This window comes from Homo sapiens, chromosome 1 (genome assembly GCF_000001405.40).
Source record: "Homo sapiens chromosome 1, GRCh38.p14 Primary Assembly".
Classification (NCBI taxonomy): domain Eukaryota; kingdom Metazoa; phylum Chordata; class Mammalia; order Primates; family Hominidae; genus Homo; species Homo sapiens.
In genome coordinates, this window is record NC_000001.11 from 159418444 (window position 1) to 159434361 (window position 15918).

General features: G+C 38.5%; 1 protein-coding gene and 1 pseudogene across 4 annotated transcripts in view, besides 1 other annotated feature; both read left to right on the top strand.

The window, feature by feature from the left end:
* OR10J1 (olfactory receptor family 10 subfamily J member 1) overlaps positions 1-15918 on the top strand; it is a 43503-nt gene that overhangs the window by 20979 nt on the left and 6606 nt on the right. Inside the window, exon 4 of one of the 3 annotated variants that reach the window (NM_001363557.2) lies at positions 12819-13028. The exons of 1 other annotated variant lie outside the window; for it this stretch is intronic. The gene's annotated coding sequence lies outside the window, so the exon portion shown is untranslated. Of the gene's footprint in view, positions 1-12817; positions 13029-15918 lie in introns of those variants that run through there. One more of the 3 variants, XM_047417793.1, reaches the window with a different exon arrangement.
* Positions 10996-11290: a silencer, noted in NCBI's record as "tiled region #7346; K562 Repressive non-DNase unmatched - State 24:Quies". NCBI's record gives its function as "represses a minimal TATA promoter and a strong SV40 promoter by Sharpr-MPRA in K562 cells {active_cell/tissue: K562}" and the evidence as "EXISTENCE:reporter gene assay evidence [ECO:0000049][PMID:27701403]".
* On the top strand, positions 13761-14695 carry OR10J4 (olfactory receptor family 10 subfamily J member 4 (gene/pseudogene); annotated as a pseudogene). The gene has a single exon (NR_145510.3). The product of NR_145510.3 is annotated as an olfactory receptor family 10 subfamily J member 4 (gene/pseudogene), transcript variant 1, non-coding (transcript).

A 15918-nucleotide genomic window follows, 5' to 3' on the forward strand; every position in this document is an offset into this window, starting at 1 on the left:
ATGGTGCAATCCCCATACCTTGGCAGCTGCCATGTGGTGTCGAGCCTGCAGGTGAACAGAAGTCAAGAATCGAGGCTTGGGAACCTCTGCCTAGATTTCACAGGATGTACAGAAACACCTGGATATCCAGGCAGAAGTTTGCTGCAGGGGTGGGGCCTTCACAGAGAACCTCTGCTTGGGCAGTGTGGCAGGAAAATGCGTGGTTGAAGCCCCCACACAAAGTCCTTACTGGGACACTGGCTAGTGGAGCTATGAGAAGAGGGACACTGTCCTCCAGACCTCAGAATGGTAGATCTACCAACAGCTTGCACTGAGCACCTGGAAAAGCCACAGACCTTCAACACCAGCACGTGAAAACAGCTAGAAGGGAGGTTGTACCTTGCAAAGCCACAGGGGTGGAGCTGCCCAAGATCATGGGAACCCACCTCTTGCATCAGTGTGACCTGGATGTGAGACATTGAGTCAAAGTAGATCATTTTGGAGCTTTAAGATTTGACTGCCCCATGGGATTTCAGACTTGCATGGGGCCTGTAGCCCCTTCATTTTGGCCAATTTATCCTATTTAGAATGAGTGTATTTACCCAATGCTTGCAACCCCATTGTACCTAGGAAGTAACTAACTTGCTTTTGATTATACAGGCTCACAGGCAAAGGGGACTTGGCTTGGCTCAGATGAGATTTTAAGCTGTGGACTTTTGAGTTAATGCTGAAATGAGTTAAGACTTTGTGGAGCTGTTGGGAAGGCATGATTGGTTTTGAAATGTGAGAACATGAGATTTGGGAGGGTCCAGGGGCAGAATGATATGGTTTGACTCTGACCCTACCCAAATCTTAGCTTAAATTATAGCTCCCATAATTCCCATGTGTCATGGGAGAAACCCAGTGGGAGGTAATTGAATCATGGGGGTGGGTCTTTCCCATGCTGTTCTTGTGATAGTGAATAAGTCTCATGAGATCTGATGGTTTTATAAATGGGAGTTTGCCTGCACAAGTTTTCTGTCTTGCTTGCTGCCATGTAAGACATGCCTTTCATTTTCTGCCATGATTGTGAGGCCTCCCCAGCCACATGGAACTGTGAGTCTATTAAACCTCTTTTTCTTTATAAATTACCCAGTCTCAGGTATGCCTTTATTAGCAGAGTGAGAACATACTAACACAAGGAGCATGTTGCTTAAATTACATGTATTTGTACAGTTTCCAAAGTTCCTCTTGATTTCTAGTTTTATTCCACTGTAGTCTCAGAAGACATTTGATATGATTTCAGTATTATTCAATTTGTTGAGACTTGTTTTGTGTCCTAACATATGATCTATTTTGGAGAATGTTTCTTGTGCTGATAAATGGAATGTGTATTCTGTAGTTGTTGGATGAAATGCTTTGTAAATGCCTTTTCGGTTCATTTGGTTAAATATGCAACTTAAATTCATTTTTTATTTTTACTTTTCCTTCTGGATGATCTATCTAATGATGAAAGTAGGGCGTTGAAGTCTCCAACTACTATTGTATTGGAGTCTCTCTCTCTCTTTAGATGTAATAATATTTTTTGTATATGGATGCTCTGATGTTGGTGCATATATGTTTATAATTTTTATATCCCATTGCTGAATTTCTCTGTTGTTATTATATAATGACCTTCTTTGTCTCTTTTTACTGTTTTTGACTTAAAGTCTGTTTTGTCTGATATAAGTATAGTTTTTTCCTGCTCACTTTGGTTTCCATTTGCCATAGAGTATATTTTTCTATTCCCTTACTTTCAGTCTACACGCTTCTTTCCTGGTAAGATAATTTTCATAGGCAGCATATCATTGGGTCATATTGTTTATTCTACTCAGCTAGTCTATATCTTTTAAGTGGGAAGTTCAATGTATTTACATTTAAGTTTATTATGGATAGATGAGGGCATATTCCTGTAATTTTATTAATTGATTTCTGGTTGTTTTGTATATTCTTTGTTTCTTTCTTTCTCTCTTGTTGTTTATTATTGTGGTTTGCTGGAATTTTGTAGTGGTAACATTTGAATATTTTCTCTTCCTTATTTGTTTGCTAAATCAGTGGTTTTTACATTTTCATGTATTTTAGTGACAGTAATCTTTCTTTTGCTACCAGGCATAGGACTCCCATAGGACTCCCTTAAGCATTTCTTGTGGGATCAGTCTAAAGGTGATAAATTTGCTTATTTGGAGAGGACTCTATTTCTCCTTTATATATGAAGGATAACTTTGTTAGGCATAAAATCCTTGGTTAGTAGGTTTTTTTTTTCAGCACTTTGAATACATCATACTATTATCTCATGGTCTGCATGGTTTCTGCTGAGAAATATGCTGTTAGTCTGATCAAAGTTCCTTTATAAGTGACTAGATGCTTTTCTCTTGCTGTTCTTAGAATTTTGTCTTTTTCTTTGACTTTTGACATTTTGAGTACAACGTGCCATGGAGACCTTCTTAAATTGTATCTATTTGTGAATCTTTGAGACTCCTGTATCTTGATGTTCCCAAATAACTTGCTAGACTTGGGAAGTTTTTAATCTATTATTTCATTAAATAGGTTTCTAAACCTTTTGTTTTCTTCTTGTCTTCTGAGATACCACAAATTTGAGTACTTGGTCACTTTCTGGTTCCCCATATGTCAGATAGGCTTTGTAATTCTTTTTTATTCTTTTAAAAAATTTTTGCCTGAGTTATTTCAAAAGGCCCATTTTTAAGTTTTGAGATTTTTTGTCTGCTTGATCTAGTCTATTGCTGAAGATTTCAAATGTATTTTGTATTTTATTTAATGAATTCTTCAATTTTAGAATTTCTGTTAGGTTCTTTTTTATGTTATCTATGACTTCAGTAATTTTAAAATTCACATCCTGATTTTTTTCTGATTTTTTATATTGTTTTCAGTCATCTCTTTTATCTCACTGAGATTCTTGAGTATCAATATTTTAAATTCTTTTTTGGGGATTTGGCAAATTTCTTTTTGATTTGGATCTCTTGCTGGAGAATTTTTATGTTCCTTCAAAGGTGTTGTATTAATTTCATGTTTCCTGTGTTCTTCCATTGATATCTGCACATCTGGTGCAATAGTTGCTTTTTCCAATTTTTTGAATTTGTTCTCATGGGTGTGGAATTTTTCCTGAAGATATATCTATGGTATTGGTTGGTTAGGGCACTGTGGCTTGGATCGTGGGTGCATACAGTGGTGTAGTGTCTCTATGACTTATTTAGCTGTACAATGTCAGTGGTTTCTGTGATTTCCTCAGTGGCTTATGGTGTAGTAGTTAGTAGAGGCTGTGGTGAAGTTTGGGTAGGAACTGGAATGCCAGGTGAGCTAGTCTTTGGGCCTGGGTGGTGATGGCAGTGGGATAATCATGCCTGTTCATGGCCCCATGGTGACGTACGCTGGCACTGATTTTAACTTGTGCAAGCAGGCTGATTCTTGGGGCTCCAGGTGACTTGCTTGGGTACCAGCAGTGGCAGGGAGGGTGGGCAGGTTCTTAAGCACCTGGGCGTCAGGCGTGGCATGGGCAATGACAGTAATAGTGGCAGGACAACCCTCTGGGACCCAAGCAGTCCACGGTGATGTTGGCAGTTGCTGCAATGCGCTGTACAGGCCTGCAGGTGGCACATTCATGTGATGCTATCTGTTGTAGCTGCAGGTTGAGTGGGCTTGACCTCAGACCCCAACAGTAGTGTGCTCAGGTGCCAAACACTGTTAGGCTGGGCTGGGTGATTTCCAGGCCTCAAACGGTGTGCCGAGTACTGGAGTTGGTGGATCTGGGCTGGGCAGTCTCCCCAGTGGTGCATTCAGGTATTGGCTTTTGTAGGGAGAGACAGGGTGATCCCTAGGCCCCCAGAAGAATGCTTAGATGGGGCAGCAGTGACTGCACTGTGGCCCTACTACTGAGGAGGGTGGAGTTGCTTTCAGTGGAAGCAACCTTAGGCATGTTGCTGGGGACTGTGCATATTGCTTGTGCCTCAACCTTGCACCAGCCTGCAATGGAGGCAGCTGCGAGCTGTGGAATTTTTCCTTGGGGCACTTAAAAGTGTGCAGCCATCCCTCCGCAGGTGAGATGCAGGGGTCTCTGCCCATGGTTCCCACCTTGATCCCAGGAGTAGCAGCGGTAGGTACAGAATGTCAGTGGGGCTTCAGGGATGTGGAGATGCAGAAGCTGTTAAGCCCTAGGGCAGGACAGAGACTGGTGGAGGCTGGGCTCTCAAAATGATGCTGTATTGCAGCTGCACAAGACTCTGGGGGTTGTGGGACCCAGCATGAGCTCCCTCTAGAGCAGTGCCTTTGTGTAGTCCCCAGGAAGTTCCCTATGTAAGTTTCGAACCTTACTAGGGTTGAGCTCCTTTCCTATGGCTAGAGTTGTAGGAGTCTTGGGTGAAAATGAGGACCACTGGGGGGCTTTTCGCTTACTCTTTCCCCACATTAGGGAACCTCTTCAGGCTGCCAGCAGATCCCAGCTGAACAGGCTACATTGCTTCCCTCTCTTTCCTTGCTTCTGGTGCTTCCTATAACTGTTCTGTTGAATTCTAGTGTTCTCAAATGAGCTATTCAAAGTAATTATATACTCACTAATTTGGTTCCTCTCCGTGGAAGAGGTGAATACCAGATGCATCTAGTCAGCCATCTTGAAGCCCCTCTTCTATTTCAATCCTTTCCAATTTTTCAAAACCGAAAATACATTTTTTTTCTTTATACAACAGATGGTTCATGTAGCCTCTTAAAGAACATATCTCCCTTATAAAAGCCATGCTGCTTTTCTCCTACAGGTGATGACAATGCTTCTACACTTTATTATAGAGGCCAATATTTACCCCATCCACTGCCACACACAATATATCTTCTTTCCCATTTAGCTTTTGGTTTACATGCTTGAATTGACTGTGACAATTCTCTGTGGGCCTCTTACATTTCTGTACATCTTGTGAGGACAGGCACTGATGATCCATTGATCTATATGATTTCAAAGATATTTGTATAGGGAACAGCCTTGAAACACAGAGACAGAGACAGTGTCTCCCTGTGGAGCAAAGAGCAGGCAGGCATACTGCATATTATAGCAGATTTAGTCTCCCTAAGCCCAGGATTGCACATTTCTAATATAACTCACTGTACTTCCCATATTCAAGTAAAATACTGCAGATTTACATTTTCCAGAAGGGTTTGAAAGTTGGAGAAGAAGTGCAGTGTAGACAATGAGGAGATTAAGAAAATTCTACAAACCATGCGGAGAGACTTTCCTCCAGTCTCCTTTTCCTTCTTTGACTCCCACAATTCTGGCAACAAGGTTTACAACCACCAGAAAGAACATTAAAGGAATTCTTCCTAGGGAAAAGAAGAATTCTGAGAGAATAAACTTATAGATACTGACGTCTGGGTGCTTCCTAATGAAAACTACTTGCCATTGTATTGCTGTCAATACAAGAAACACACCCAGAACTTTCAATTGGCTTATTAGAGCTTTTTTATTAGATATGAATGGACAGCCAAGGTGGTTTCTAACATTAAAAGCCACACTACATCTGTAATCCCAGCAGTTTGGGAGGCTGAGGCGAGTGGGTCACTAGGTCAGGAGTTCAAGACCAGCCTGGCCAAGATGGTGAAATCCCATCTCTAATAAAAATACAAAAAATTAGCCGGGTGAGGTGGCAGGTGCCCGTAATCCCAGCTACTCAGGAGGCTGAAGCAGGAGAATCGCTTGAATCCAGGAGACGGAGGTTGTATTGAGCAGAGATCATGCCACTGCACTCTAGCATGGGTGACAGAGCAAGACTCCATCTCCAAAAAAAAAAAAGCCACACTGGAACAAGCAAACAGAAAAAATTTAAAAGTTGGAAAAAAATAGAGATAATGCATTAAAGAGGAAATAATTTAATATTTATATATGTGTTAATATGCACATACATATGATTTAAATGCATGTAAATATGCATATATGTATATGTGCATATATGTGTATACATGTACATGAATATACATATATTCAAATTAAGTATGTATTATATATAAATATGTAAATATATAATATAAATATATAAGTATACATATATGTATATTGAAATACATGTATGTGTGTGTATATATACATAGGATGTGTATGCACACATGTTTAATATCCTCAATGAGATGAAAGAACTGAGTGTGTCCGTGAAATAAAAACAGGCTTCTACAAAAAGAAAACTTTGGAAAATAAGACAATTTCTTTCAATGATACATTAACAAATTGGAAGATAATTTTGAGGAAGCCTTCTAGAAAATGTAATAAAAAGATTAAAAAGTTAGGAAATAAGAGACAAAACAATGTGAAGATTGATAGAAGAGGTAGAATGTCCAACAAATATGAGTTCCAAACAGAAAAATAGAGGAAGAACAGCATCAAGGAAAACAGTATTTCAAAATACTTGAAAAATATAAATTGCCAGATTGAGTAACTAACATAGCAAGAAAGAAAATAAGAAAGGAACACACATTGAAGAGTACCATCATGTCACATCAAAATTCTAGGGATAAAGAAAAATGCTAAGAGTTTCCAGACAAAGAAAGGGAGAAAAACACATCGTGTTAAAAGACTGAGACTTTAAATGAAATTAGACTTTTCAACAATTACACTAGAATTTGGTAAACAATGAAACAATGCCTTCAAAATTGTGATATAAAATTATTTCTAAAATAGATTAATACATCCAACAAAATACAACATATGTGGATACAATAAACATATTTTTAGAGAAGTGGACGTTTCAAAAAATTTACATCCCATGTTCTTGTTCTCAGATAGTTATTGAAGAGGTTCTCCATCAAAATGAGGGATCTAGGAAGCAGGGAAACTAACACAGGTGAGAGACAAGAAAATCCCAGCATTTTGGTGAGGAAAAGCTCCAGCACTATAATCATGCAGCAGTCCTAAAGAACAATCAAATTCAGATTTCAGGAGAGTAAAGAACTTCAGAATGGTGGTATTAGGCCAAAAAGAAACAAAATAACTAGAAGGCTAAATAAATAACTAAATAAATATGACCTGGGGAGATTATCTCATGTATTTGACTGTATCTAACTGTATCTATAGAGAAAAGGCTTTATAGTTCTGATGGAGAGTTTGAGAATTGATTCAAGATACTCGAAAACTTAATAACAGAGTTCAATTACAAAAAATTAGCAAGAAAAAAATTGCAAAGAAAGAGATAGGAACTTATAGTAAGCTGCATGGCTCAGTTGTGAAAAATATGTTCATATCATAATAATGTATGTTCTGAAAATAGATTTAATTTTTACTGAAAGGATGACAGGAGAAGTATGTGGGTGTGTTTGTGTTCATGTACACAGAGATGGTGTTGTAAATGAGCTAGGAAGTCAAGAGAGAATGCCTAACATTTAGAAATCAAGAAATATCATTATGTGCATATTTTATACAATATAACAGAAACATAAAGATGCATAACATAAGAAACAGGTAAAAGAACTGAAAGTGGCTGCCTCCAAAAGGCAAGAATTATGTGTGAATAATAACTAACTTTTAAAATAATGTAGTGCTATTTCACATCTTAAATTCTATATTTGGATTATTTAGCAAAAATAAAATTAAACTGTAAAAATTAAGGATGAATGCTGGAGAAATAGAAATGGTGGATATCTAACTGCATAGTGTGCATAGTAAACAATGGAAACAAATTTTAAAAAACAATTAACCAAAAGGCTGGCTAAGAAACAAGTAGATATTAGGAAAACCTAGTAAATAAAAAATATAAAATATGGTGTAAGTAATATTCAAAAATTTATTTAATTACAATAAATATGAATGGATTAAGCTAATTAATGGAAACACAGAGGCTCTCAGACTGAATTTTAATAATCTACCACTTCAATTTTTTAAAATGTATATTAAAATGACAAAAAGTTGGAAAATAAAGAGGCTGAAAATGGTATTCGAGCAGATGAAAACAAAAAGAAAATTGTTGTAATATTGCTCATAACAAACAAAATATTATTTAAAGTGAAAACAACTAAGGAACTTATGATGTTGATAAAATAATTCACCAGGAAGATACTCCATTTATGAATGTATAAGGCCCTAACAACTTAGTTTTAAAATGTACTATGCAAAAACTGATAAAACTACTAAGATAAATTGACAAACACACAATCATAGCTGGAGACAACATTTTTTTTTTGAAACTAACAAAACATTCAATGGTTTAGTAGGACTTAAAAGAGTTGTAGCAATAATTAACAGGCCTAATCTAAAGCTCAAACCTTCATAAAGAGAATGTTCACTCTTTTGATCCCAAAGGATGTCTCAATATTGATATTATGTAAATATTTTTTTCATGGACCACAATGCAATAAAATAAGAAATCAACCAAAAAAGAAGTAGCCAAACTCTTCTCCATTAACCTTCAAAGATCTATATACATCATAGATATTTAATAAACACGTGTATAGCACTTACTATATGTTAACCATTATTCTAAGCACTTTGAAATATTTACTCATTCAGTCTTTAATACTGCTTGAGATAGGTAGTATTATTCCTCTCAGTATACAAATAAAATTGAAGCACAGAGAGACTGAGCAATATATCTAAGGTTATGTAGTTAGTGAGTGGCAGAGAGAGACAAGTGCTCTTGACTCCTGTATTAAGCTTTTTCTCTTAACATAAGCATTTAAATAAACTATGAGTTAAAGAAGAAACAAAAATAAAATTTTAAAATATATACTACTACGGCTTCACAAAAAGACTACAAAACTAATGACTTACATCCAAAGCAGTTCTCAGAACTGCTTTATATATTTACTGGAAAATAATAAATGAATATTTAAATTCAAAAAGTTTCCAAAAGAGTAGCAAATCTAGAGAAGGTAAAAACAAATAATTATGATGAATTTAAATGCAAAAATAAAGAAAACTAAAAAAATAGATATTTTATTTTTTAAGTTTGGATAGTTGAAGAGATTAATTAGAAATGAAACCCCTAACAGCCATGATCAACAAAAATCAAAGAGACACAAGAAACATTATCAAGTAGGATACAAGGACAGATACGGAGGAACAAAATACTTATAAAAGCACATTTTGAACAACTTTATACTAATTTATTTTTAAAAGGTATATAAAATGGGCAGATTTGGAGAAAAGGATATATTACCATAATTAGACAAGAAATAGAAAATGTACTAGAATAAAAACCCCATAAAACAGGAAACGCTAGTAGTGAAAAACCTACTCTTTCCAAAAAACAAAGACACAAAAAACAACATCATGCTCAGAGGATAGAAAGGTGTGAGATTTAGCCAGCATTTAAAGAGGCTGCTAATTGCAAACCTTTCATACCAAAAATAGCCAAGTTGGAAAAGATAATTATCGGCCAATAATGGATAGATGAAAAAATAGTAAACTGAATTCAGCAGTATATACAAAGATCAAGTAGGGGTTTCCGTTAAAACGTATGAATGAGCCAATATTTTAAAAATTTCTTAATGTAATTCACCCCTAACAACTTAGAGAATAAAAAGCATATGATTATGTCAATGAATGCAGAAAAGAAACTAGCTGAAAATTTAACAGACCATTTATGATAAACTTGCAAACAAACCAGGAATAGAAGGGAACTTCCTTATATCTGCCAGAGATCTATAGCAAGCATCATGTTTAATGGTTAATAAAACATGAAAAACATTTAAAGTCCGAAAAAAAGACAAAAATGTATCTATAAGTGTTAGTATTGAATATTATATTTCATAACCAAATGCAATGTGAAGAGAAATAAATGAGAGAGATAAAAATCAGAACAGAAAAGAGAAAACTGTCAAAATGTGCAGATGATGTAGTCGTCAATACATTTTTCTCCTTTGTCAGAAAAAAACCTACATTCATCCTAGATTTTCTTAGCCTTTTCTCCCTAAACCCATCTTTCTTCAGATAAACACACAATAAAACTTATATTTTAAAAAGTCAGTCACTTTTCTGTTCACAATTTCAGTATCGGGTTTCCTTTTCTTTCTCATAGGTTTCAATTCCATTCTATTTCTAATTTCAAAGAGCTACATATTTAAATAGCTACCAGGAGAACTATAAAGAAGAGACATTGACAAAAAAGGCCCAAGATTAATGATTATTTCAAGGTCTCGATAAGACTTGCTGCCCAACTTTAAGCCTTCCTTTAGCTGCTCCCTAAAGGATTTCAAACAGTCCTAACGAAGTTATGCACTGGCCATTCTCAAGCAGTGATAAATATGCCGTAAATTCATCTCTTGCCTGTGGGACTTTGGATCTTAATAGCTTATGAGCTCAAGTACTTCCAGTTTCTGTTGGGTAAATGTTTGAGGGCCTTAAGAGAGATTATGTGGAATTGAACTGAATGCCTGGCAACTCTTCCATGCTTGTCAGTCTCTCCCAGCTTACTTGGCTTGTCAAAGACACCACAATAAACTGTCCTGCTTTCAAATATTTATTTCTCAGTATGCTGGTACTTAGAGAGTCCTTAAGAGAAAGATACAAACTGGGCACCAGAACTAGGAATTACTGAAGAGCCCAAGTCTTAGGGTATCCTGGGGGATTTGATATCCAATTCTCTTCCAACCTTCAGAAAGGCCCATCTTGGGCTCACCTTCTAAAAGGAAAGCAAGGTTGGGTCAGTTGATGGACTAAGTTCTGGAGAGAGAAAGAGGGGGCTACAGAAATTACTTCAGTAAAGCTCTTCCTTCTGATCTCCTCAAGGAGAAGGTGCTCAGCTTTTTGTGGGTAACACACAGGGGTAGCCAGGTACTGCAAAGCAGGCAAAACTGGCTTACACTACAGGTGTAGTGTTCCCAGTTTCTGCTGTATTCCATGTTCCTAGCATGTGAGAGACATTCTTTGAGTATTTGCTGAAGAAATCAGTAAATGAATGAGTCATGGTTCCCACAACATTCAAACTGAAGAGACCTCAGAGGTAGGTCCTTCAGCAGTTAGGACAGAGAGACCCTGGAGTGTGAGTGATTTGTCTCATGACGCTGCATCCTTAAACATGATTGGTTCTGAGGCCCTCCCCATAATGCGATCATGAGGCATGAGTCCTCTTCAACCACGGAGCAGTCCAGGACCTTATGCTGATGCAAAGACTTCATTCCTGTGGGAAAAACCAAGATTGTCGAAGTACTAGTTGTATGATTGTTGATGAGTCACTTTTATAATGAGTTCCCCAGACATCAGAGTGTTTGGATTGTGCTATTGCTGCCTTGCAGACAGTCACTGTGGTTTTGGGGAGAGGGACCCCAGAGTCCTAGGGCACAGGAGAATGGTCCTCTTGGGCAGCCAGCAATTCAGACTTAAAGGGACAGGGCAATGGGGAGGTGCAGGAGAGCCTGGTGCTGCTTTTTGTATGTTTGTTACTCCCAGATCTGACTGATCAGGGAGATAAATTAACTGAAAGGTCCTGGTAGGTTCTGTTTTATTTCTAGTCCTCCAGTTTGGAAGATTCTCTGTGTGCTGTGTCTGCCACAGTACAATGGGAGTCCTGGAAATTCTAGTTTCAAGCCTCACTCTCCTGAATCCTGAATAAGCCTCCATCCTGCCCAGTGATATGTAAGTCACATTTCAGGACTTGATGCAGGGATTCTTGTTCTGTAACTAAATGTGACCTCGTGGCCCTCATCTCATAACCTCATGACCCTCATCTCTCTCTTTTATCTCCTGAGATAATTATCAAGTGGAAAAAATGAATATACAGCTGTGTCACAAAACTTAGGAATCAAAAGCATAAATAGTGAAAAAAATCACCGAGAAAGGATAATCTGGGTACCAGCCTTAAGGAAGGCAAAGCTTCCAAAGCCTAAATGCCTTATCCAGCATATTCTCATTGAAATGCTGTCCAGTCTCCGCAGCCCTCAACAAACCATCTCCATCCCAGATTGTGACACTCAGCATTTCTTCATAGCAGTCTCTGAGATAGATATTAGCACAGTCTTCATCTTACAAGTGAAGAAATTGAGGCCTAGAGAGGTGATAACTGTTTCCAAGGTCATATATGAGTAAGTGGGGCTTGGGTTTGATCACAGAGGTATTTAACTCCAGACTACCCTGCCCCCAATTCCCACACATTTCAAAATCTAGAGTTGGAAGAGAAGTGAGTATGGAAAGTAAAGACCGGACCTTTCAACAGGGATTGAAGAAATTAATGACAACAACCATCCATGAACATGAAAAAAAGAAAGAAAGCAAAAAAATTATGGTGTGTGTGTGTGTGTGTGTGTGTGTGTGCGCGCGCGCACATGTTTGGGTGGCCAAGCATACAAATGGAACCCAGAGTTATGGGGGGTGGGGATGGGAAGGAGACAGAAGAAGGGAGGAAAGCAGAAATTTAATTTAGTATTTGCCTGCTATGTATCAGGAACTGCACTTGGCAATTTACATACAGTAATTCATATGGTCTCCATAGTGACACTATGAAGTAGACATTATTATTCTATTTTGTAGATGAGCACATGGAGACAAATGAAACGAGCAAAGAAAATCAGGCATCCCTCCATTTACACTGGGGTTAAAGCCAGAGATTATTATGAACTTAAATATTTTGTTGTTTCTATTGCTGTTGTCTTATAGTTACTAGTGTTTTAAATCTATAAAAAACCTTCCAAGCCTACATTGTGTTTAGAGACTAAAAAATAGAAGCAGAAGCTACCCTCCACACGGAACGGGGAGACTCGGGTATTAAACGCATAATATTTGGGGATATTGGAAGAAAGCAGGACTGAAAAGAGAAGTGGCTACGCACCACAGAATGTTCTAGGTCAGCACACTGGACTATCCACACGGGAGAAAAGGAGTGTCTCCTCTCACTTCCTTATTCCAGACACTGGCCACTGTGAATTTGAACCTTGAGAGAAGGCAGTGCTTTCTACCTTGACTTACCAAATGGAAGCCCTTCTGAACAGAGATGGAGCAAGTTTTGAGGAGAGGGACTCCAGAGTCCTGGGACACAGGAGAATGGTCCTCTCTTGACTTCCCAGGAGTGCGCCTCACACAGCCATCTGTCCTTGGCTTGAACTCATTCACTCTTTAGGTATGTCCCTTTGCACTGGCCTTTGACGAGCAATGTGCCATTGGTGATTTAAACCAGGTGAGTCTGAGTAGAGTTTCAGGCCTGGGCACAGGTATTCAGTACTTTCTCTGGTCTACATCTACTTCTAGTCAAACCAGTTAGGGGTCTCCAATACATACAGTCGCTGACTTTATAATAGTGCGAGAGTGATATGCATACAGAAGAATTTATACTTCAAGTACCTATACAACCGTTTGGTTTTTCACTTTCAGTACAATATTCAAAAATTACCTATGATATTCAACACTTCATCATAAAATAGACTTTGTTTTAGGTGATTTGCCCAGTTGTAGGCTAATGCAAGTGTTCTGAATACATTTAAGGTAGGCTAGGATAAGCTATGATGTTCAGTCAGGTGTATTAAATGCATTTTTAACACGATATTTTCAACATATGATGGGTTTATCAGGATGTAGCCTCATCATACATTGAAGGGCATCTGTACTCCCTTTACACATTTACTTCCTGTCAACAGACACATACTACATCTGTCCCCCAGTCTCAGGGCCCAGAGAACCTTGATGGGTCCTTCAGTACTTGCCTGTGTCTGAATGTTGAGAGCATCTGAAACCCAGAGCTACATGCCATTTCAGTGCCTGCACATGGCTGATGACGATCCTGGACCAGCCTACTGTTTCCAGCCTGGATGCTCAACATTCCCACTTCATCTCTTTCAGACTCAGATTCTCCTCAATGCCAAGGCCCAATTTCATGGCTGTGACAGAGTTTACATTTGAGGGTTTCTCCATTTTTGAGTGGCATCACAGACTCATCCTCTTTGTGATCTTTTTGGTCTTGTACGTTTTGACCCTTGCCAGCAATGCTATCATCTTGATAGTTATCCGCCTTAACCATCAACTTCACACGCCCATGTATTTCTTCCTGAGTGTGCTGTCTATTTCTGAGACCTATTATACCGTGGCCATCAACCCCCAAATGCTGTCCGGTCTCCTCAGTCCTCAACAAACCATCTCCATCCCAGGCTGTGCCGCTCAGCTCTTTTTCTATCTCACTTTTGGTGTCAATAAATGCTTCCTGCTCACAGCCATGGGGTATGACCACTATGTGGCCATCTGCAACCCTCTACAGTATTCAGTCATCATGGGCAAAAAGGCTTGTATACAACTGGTCAGTGGATCCTGGAACATTGGCCTGAGCACAGCTATCATTCAGGTGTCTTCTGTATTCAGCCTTCCCTTCTGTGATGCTAATCTCATCTCCCACTTCTTTTGTGATATCCGGCCCATAATGAAGCTTGCCTGTGCAGACACTACTATCAAGGAGTTATTACTTTGCTCATCAGTCTCTGTGTCCTTGTTCTGCCCATGGTATTGATCTTCATCTCCTATGTCCTAATTGTCACCACCATCCTCAAGATTGCATCAGCTGAGGGCAGGAGAAAGGCCTTTGCTACTTGTGCCTCACACCTCACAGTGGTCATTGTCCACTATGGCCGTACTTCTTTCATCTACCTAAAACCCAAATCCCAAAATTCCCTGCAGGACAGACTTATCTCTGTGACATACACTGTTATTACTCCTCTGCTGAACCCTGTTGTATACAGCCTGAGGAACAAAGAGGTCAAGGATGCCTTGCTCAGAGCTTTGGGCAGAAAGCCTCTCTCTTAGGTGCTGGTCAGTTCAATAACAATCAAAGAAAAAGAGTTTGATGAGGTGTCACAGTGAGAGGGACAATAAGATGAGAGATACTGTGAAAGCACCAGGTGGCTGATCTAGGCAGCATCTAGGAATCTATTCCCCTCATAGATTGAAAAAAGAAAGAAAAATATTAATGAAAAAAAGAAATAGATGGATTTGCCAAGTCAGATATATGGGTTTACCAAGCTTGATGAAAATCAAATAAGATAAAGCATATCCATGCACTGCACTATAATGTTAGACATTATTCCTGTTACTCTTGTCATAAGGTATTGTAAACCAGCAGGGAGAATAGGAAGAATATATACTATCATATCATAGGAGTTTATGTAAGGTGAACTTGACTTCATGAATGACACAAAGGGTACAAAAGGCCACCACCACCCCTTGTCTGAAGATGGGACCAACTCTAGGGCACAATTCTAGATCCCTCCATTAGATCAGGCTGAAGTTATGCTCCAGCTAAGACTGTGTTCTTGCATAGTGATTCCCCTGCCCCATCCTGCTTCTCTCATTCCCTTTCCTCTGAGGGCACTCCTTAGTCAATCACTGTACCCAAAACCTTATTTTAGGCTCTGCTTCTGCGGAACCTGACCTAAGCAAGGTGGTACCTATGTCTATGGGGCAATTATTCAGACTTCACTGCGAGTGCTCTTTTTGCATCTGTTGCATGTAGAACAGTGTCTGGTGCATAGTAGATGTTAGATATTTATTAAAAGGAAGAAAGAAGGAAGGAAGGAAAGAAAAAGCAAAGAAGACTGCTGTGAGAAGCTAAAATACATTAGAAGGTAGCTCTTCTCTCATTTTCCTTCTATTATTTTAACACTTTCAGGCTGTTTGTCCCTCTTTGTGACATCTCCTTTTGGTACATTTATTGAATGTATCCTAGATAGTAGTCATTATTTTAAGTATGTTATTAATTTAATCTTCACTATAAATCTATGAGATAGATATTTTATTATTCTTTTTTATGGATGAGGAAACTGAGACCTCAAATAAGTTAATTCCTCAAGGCAGAATCAGGATTTAAACACGTGCAACCCAGCCCTGAAGTCTGTAGTTGCATTGTAAGCTCATGATATTCATTTTAACCAGCTTTCTCCTCCATAATAACTAACTTATACTGTTCCATACTCCTAGGAAAAGGAGAAGGCTCCACCCCATCCCAAATTGTGGATTTACACATATCTCAG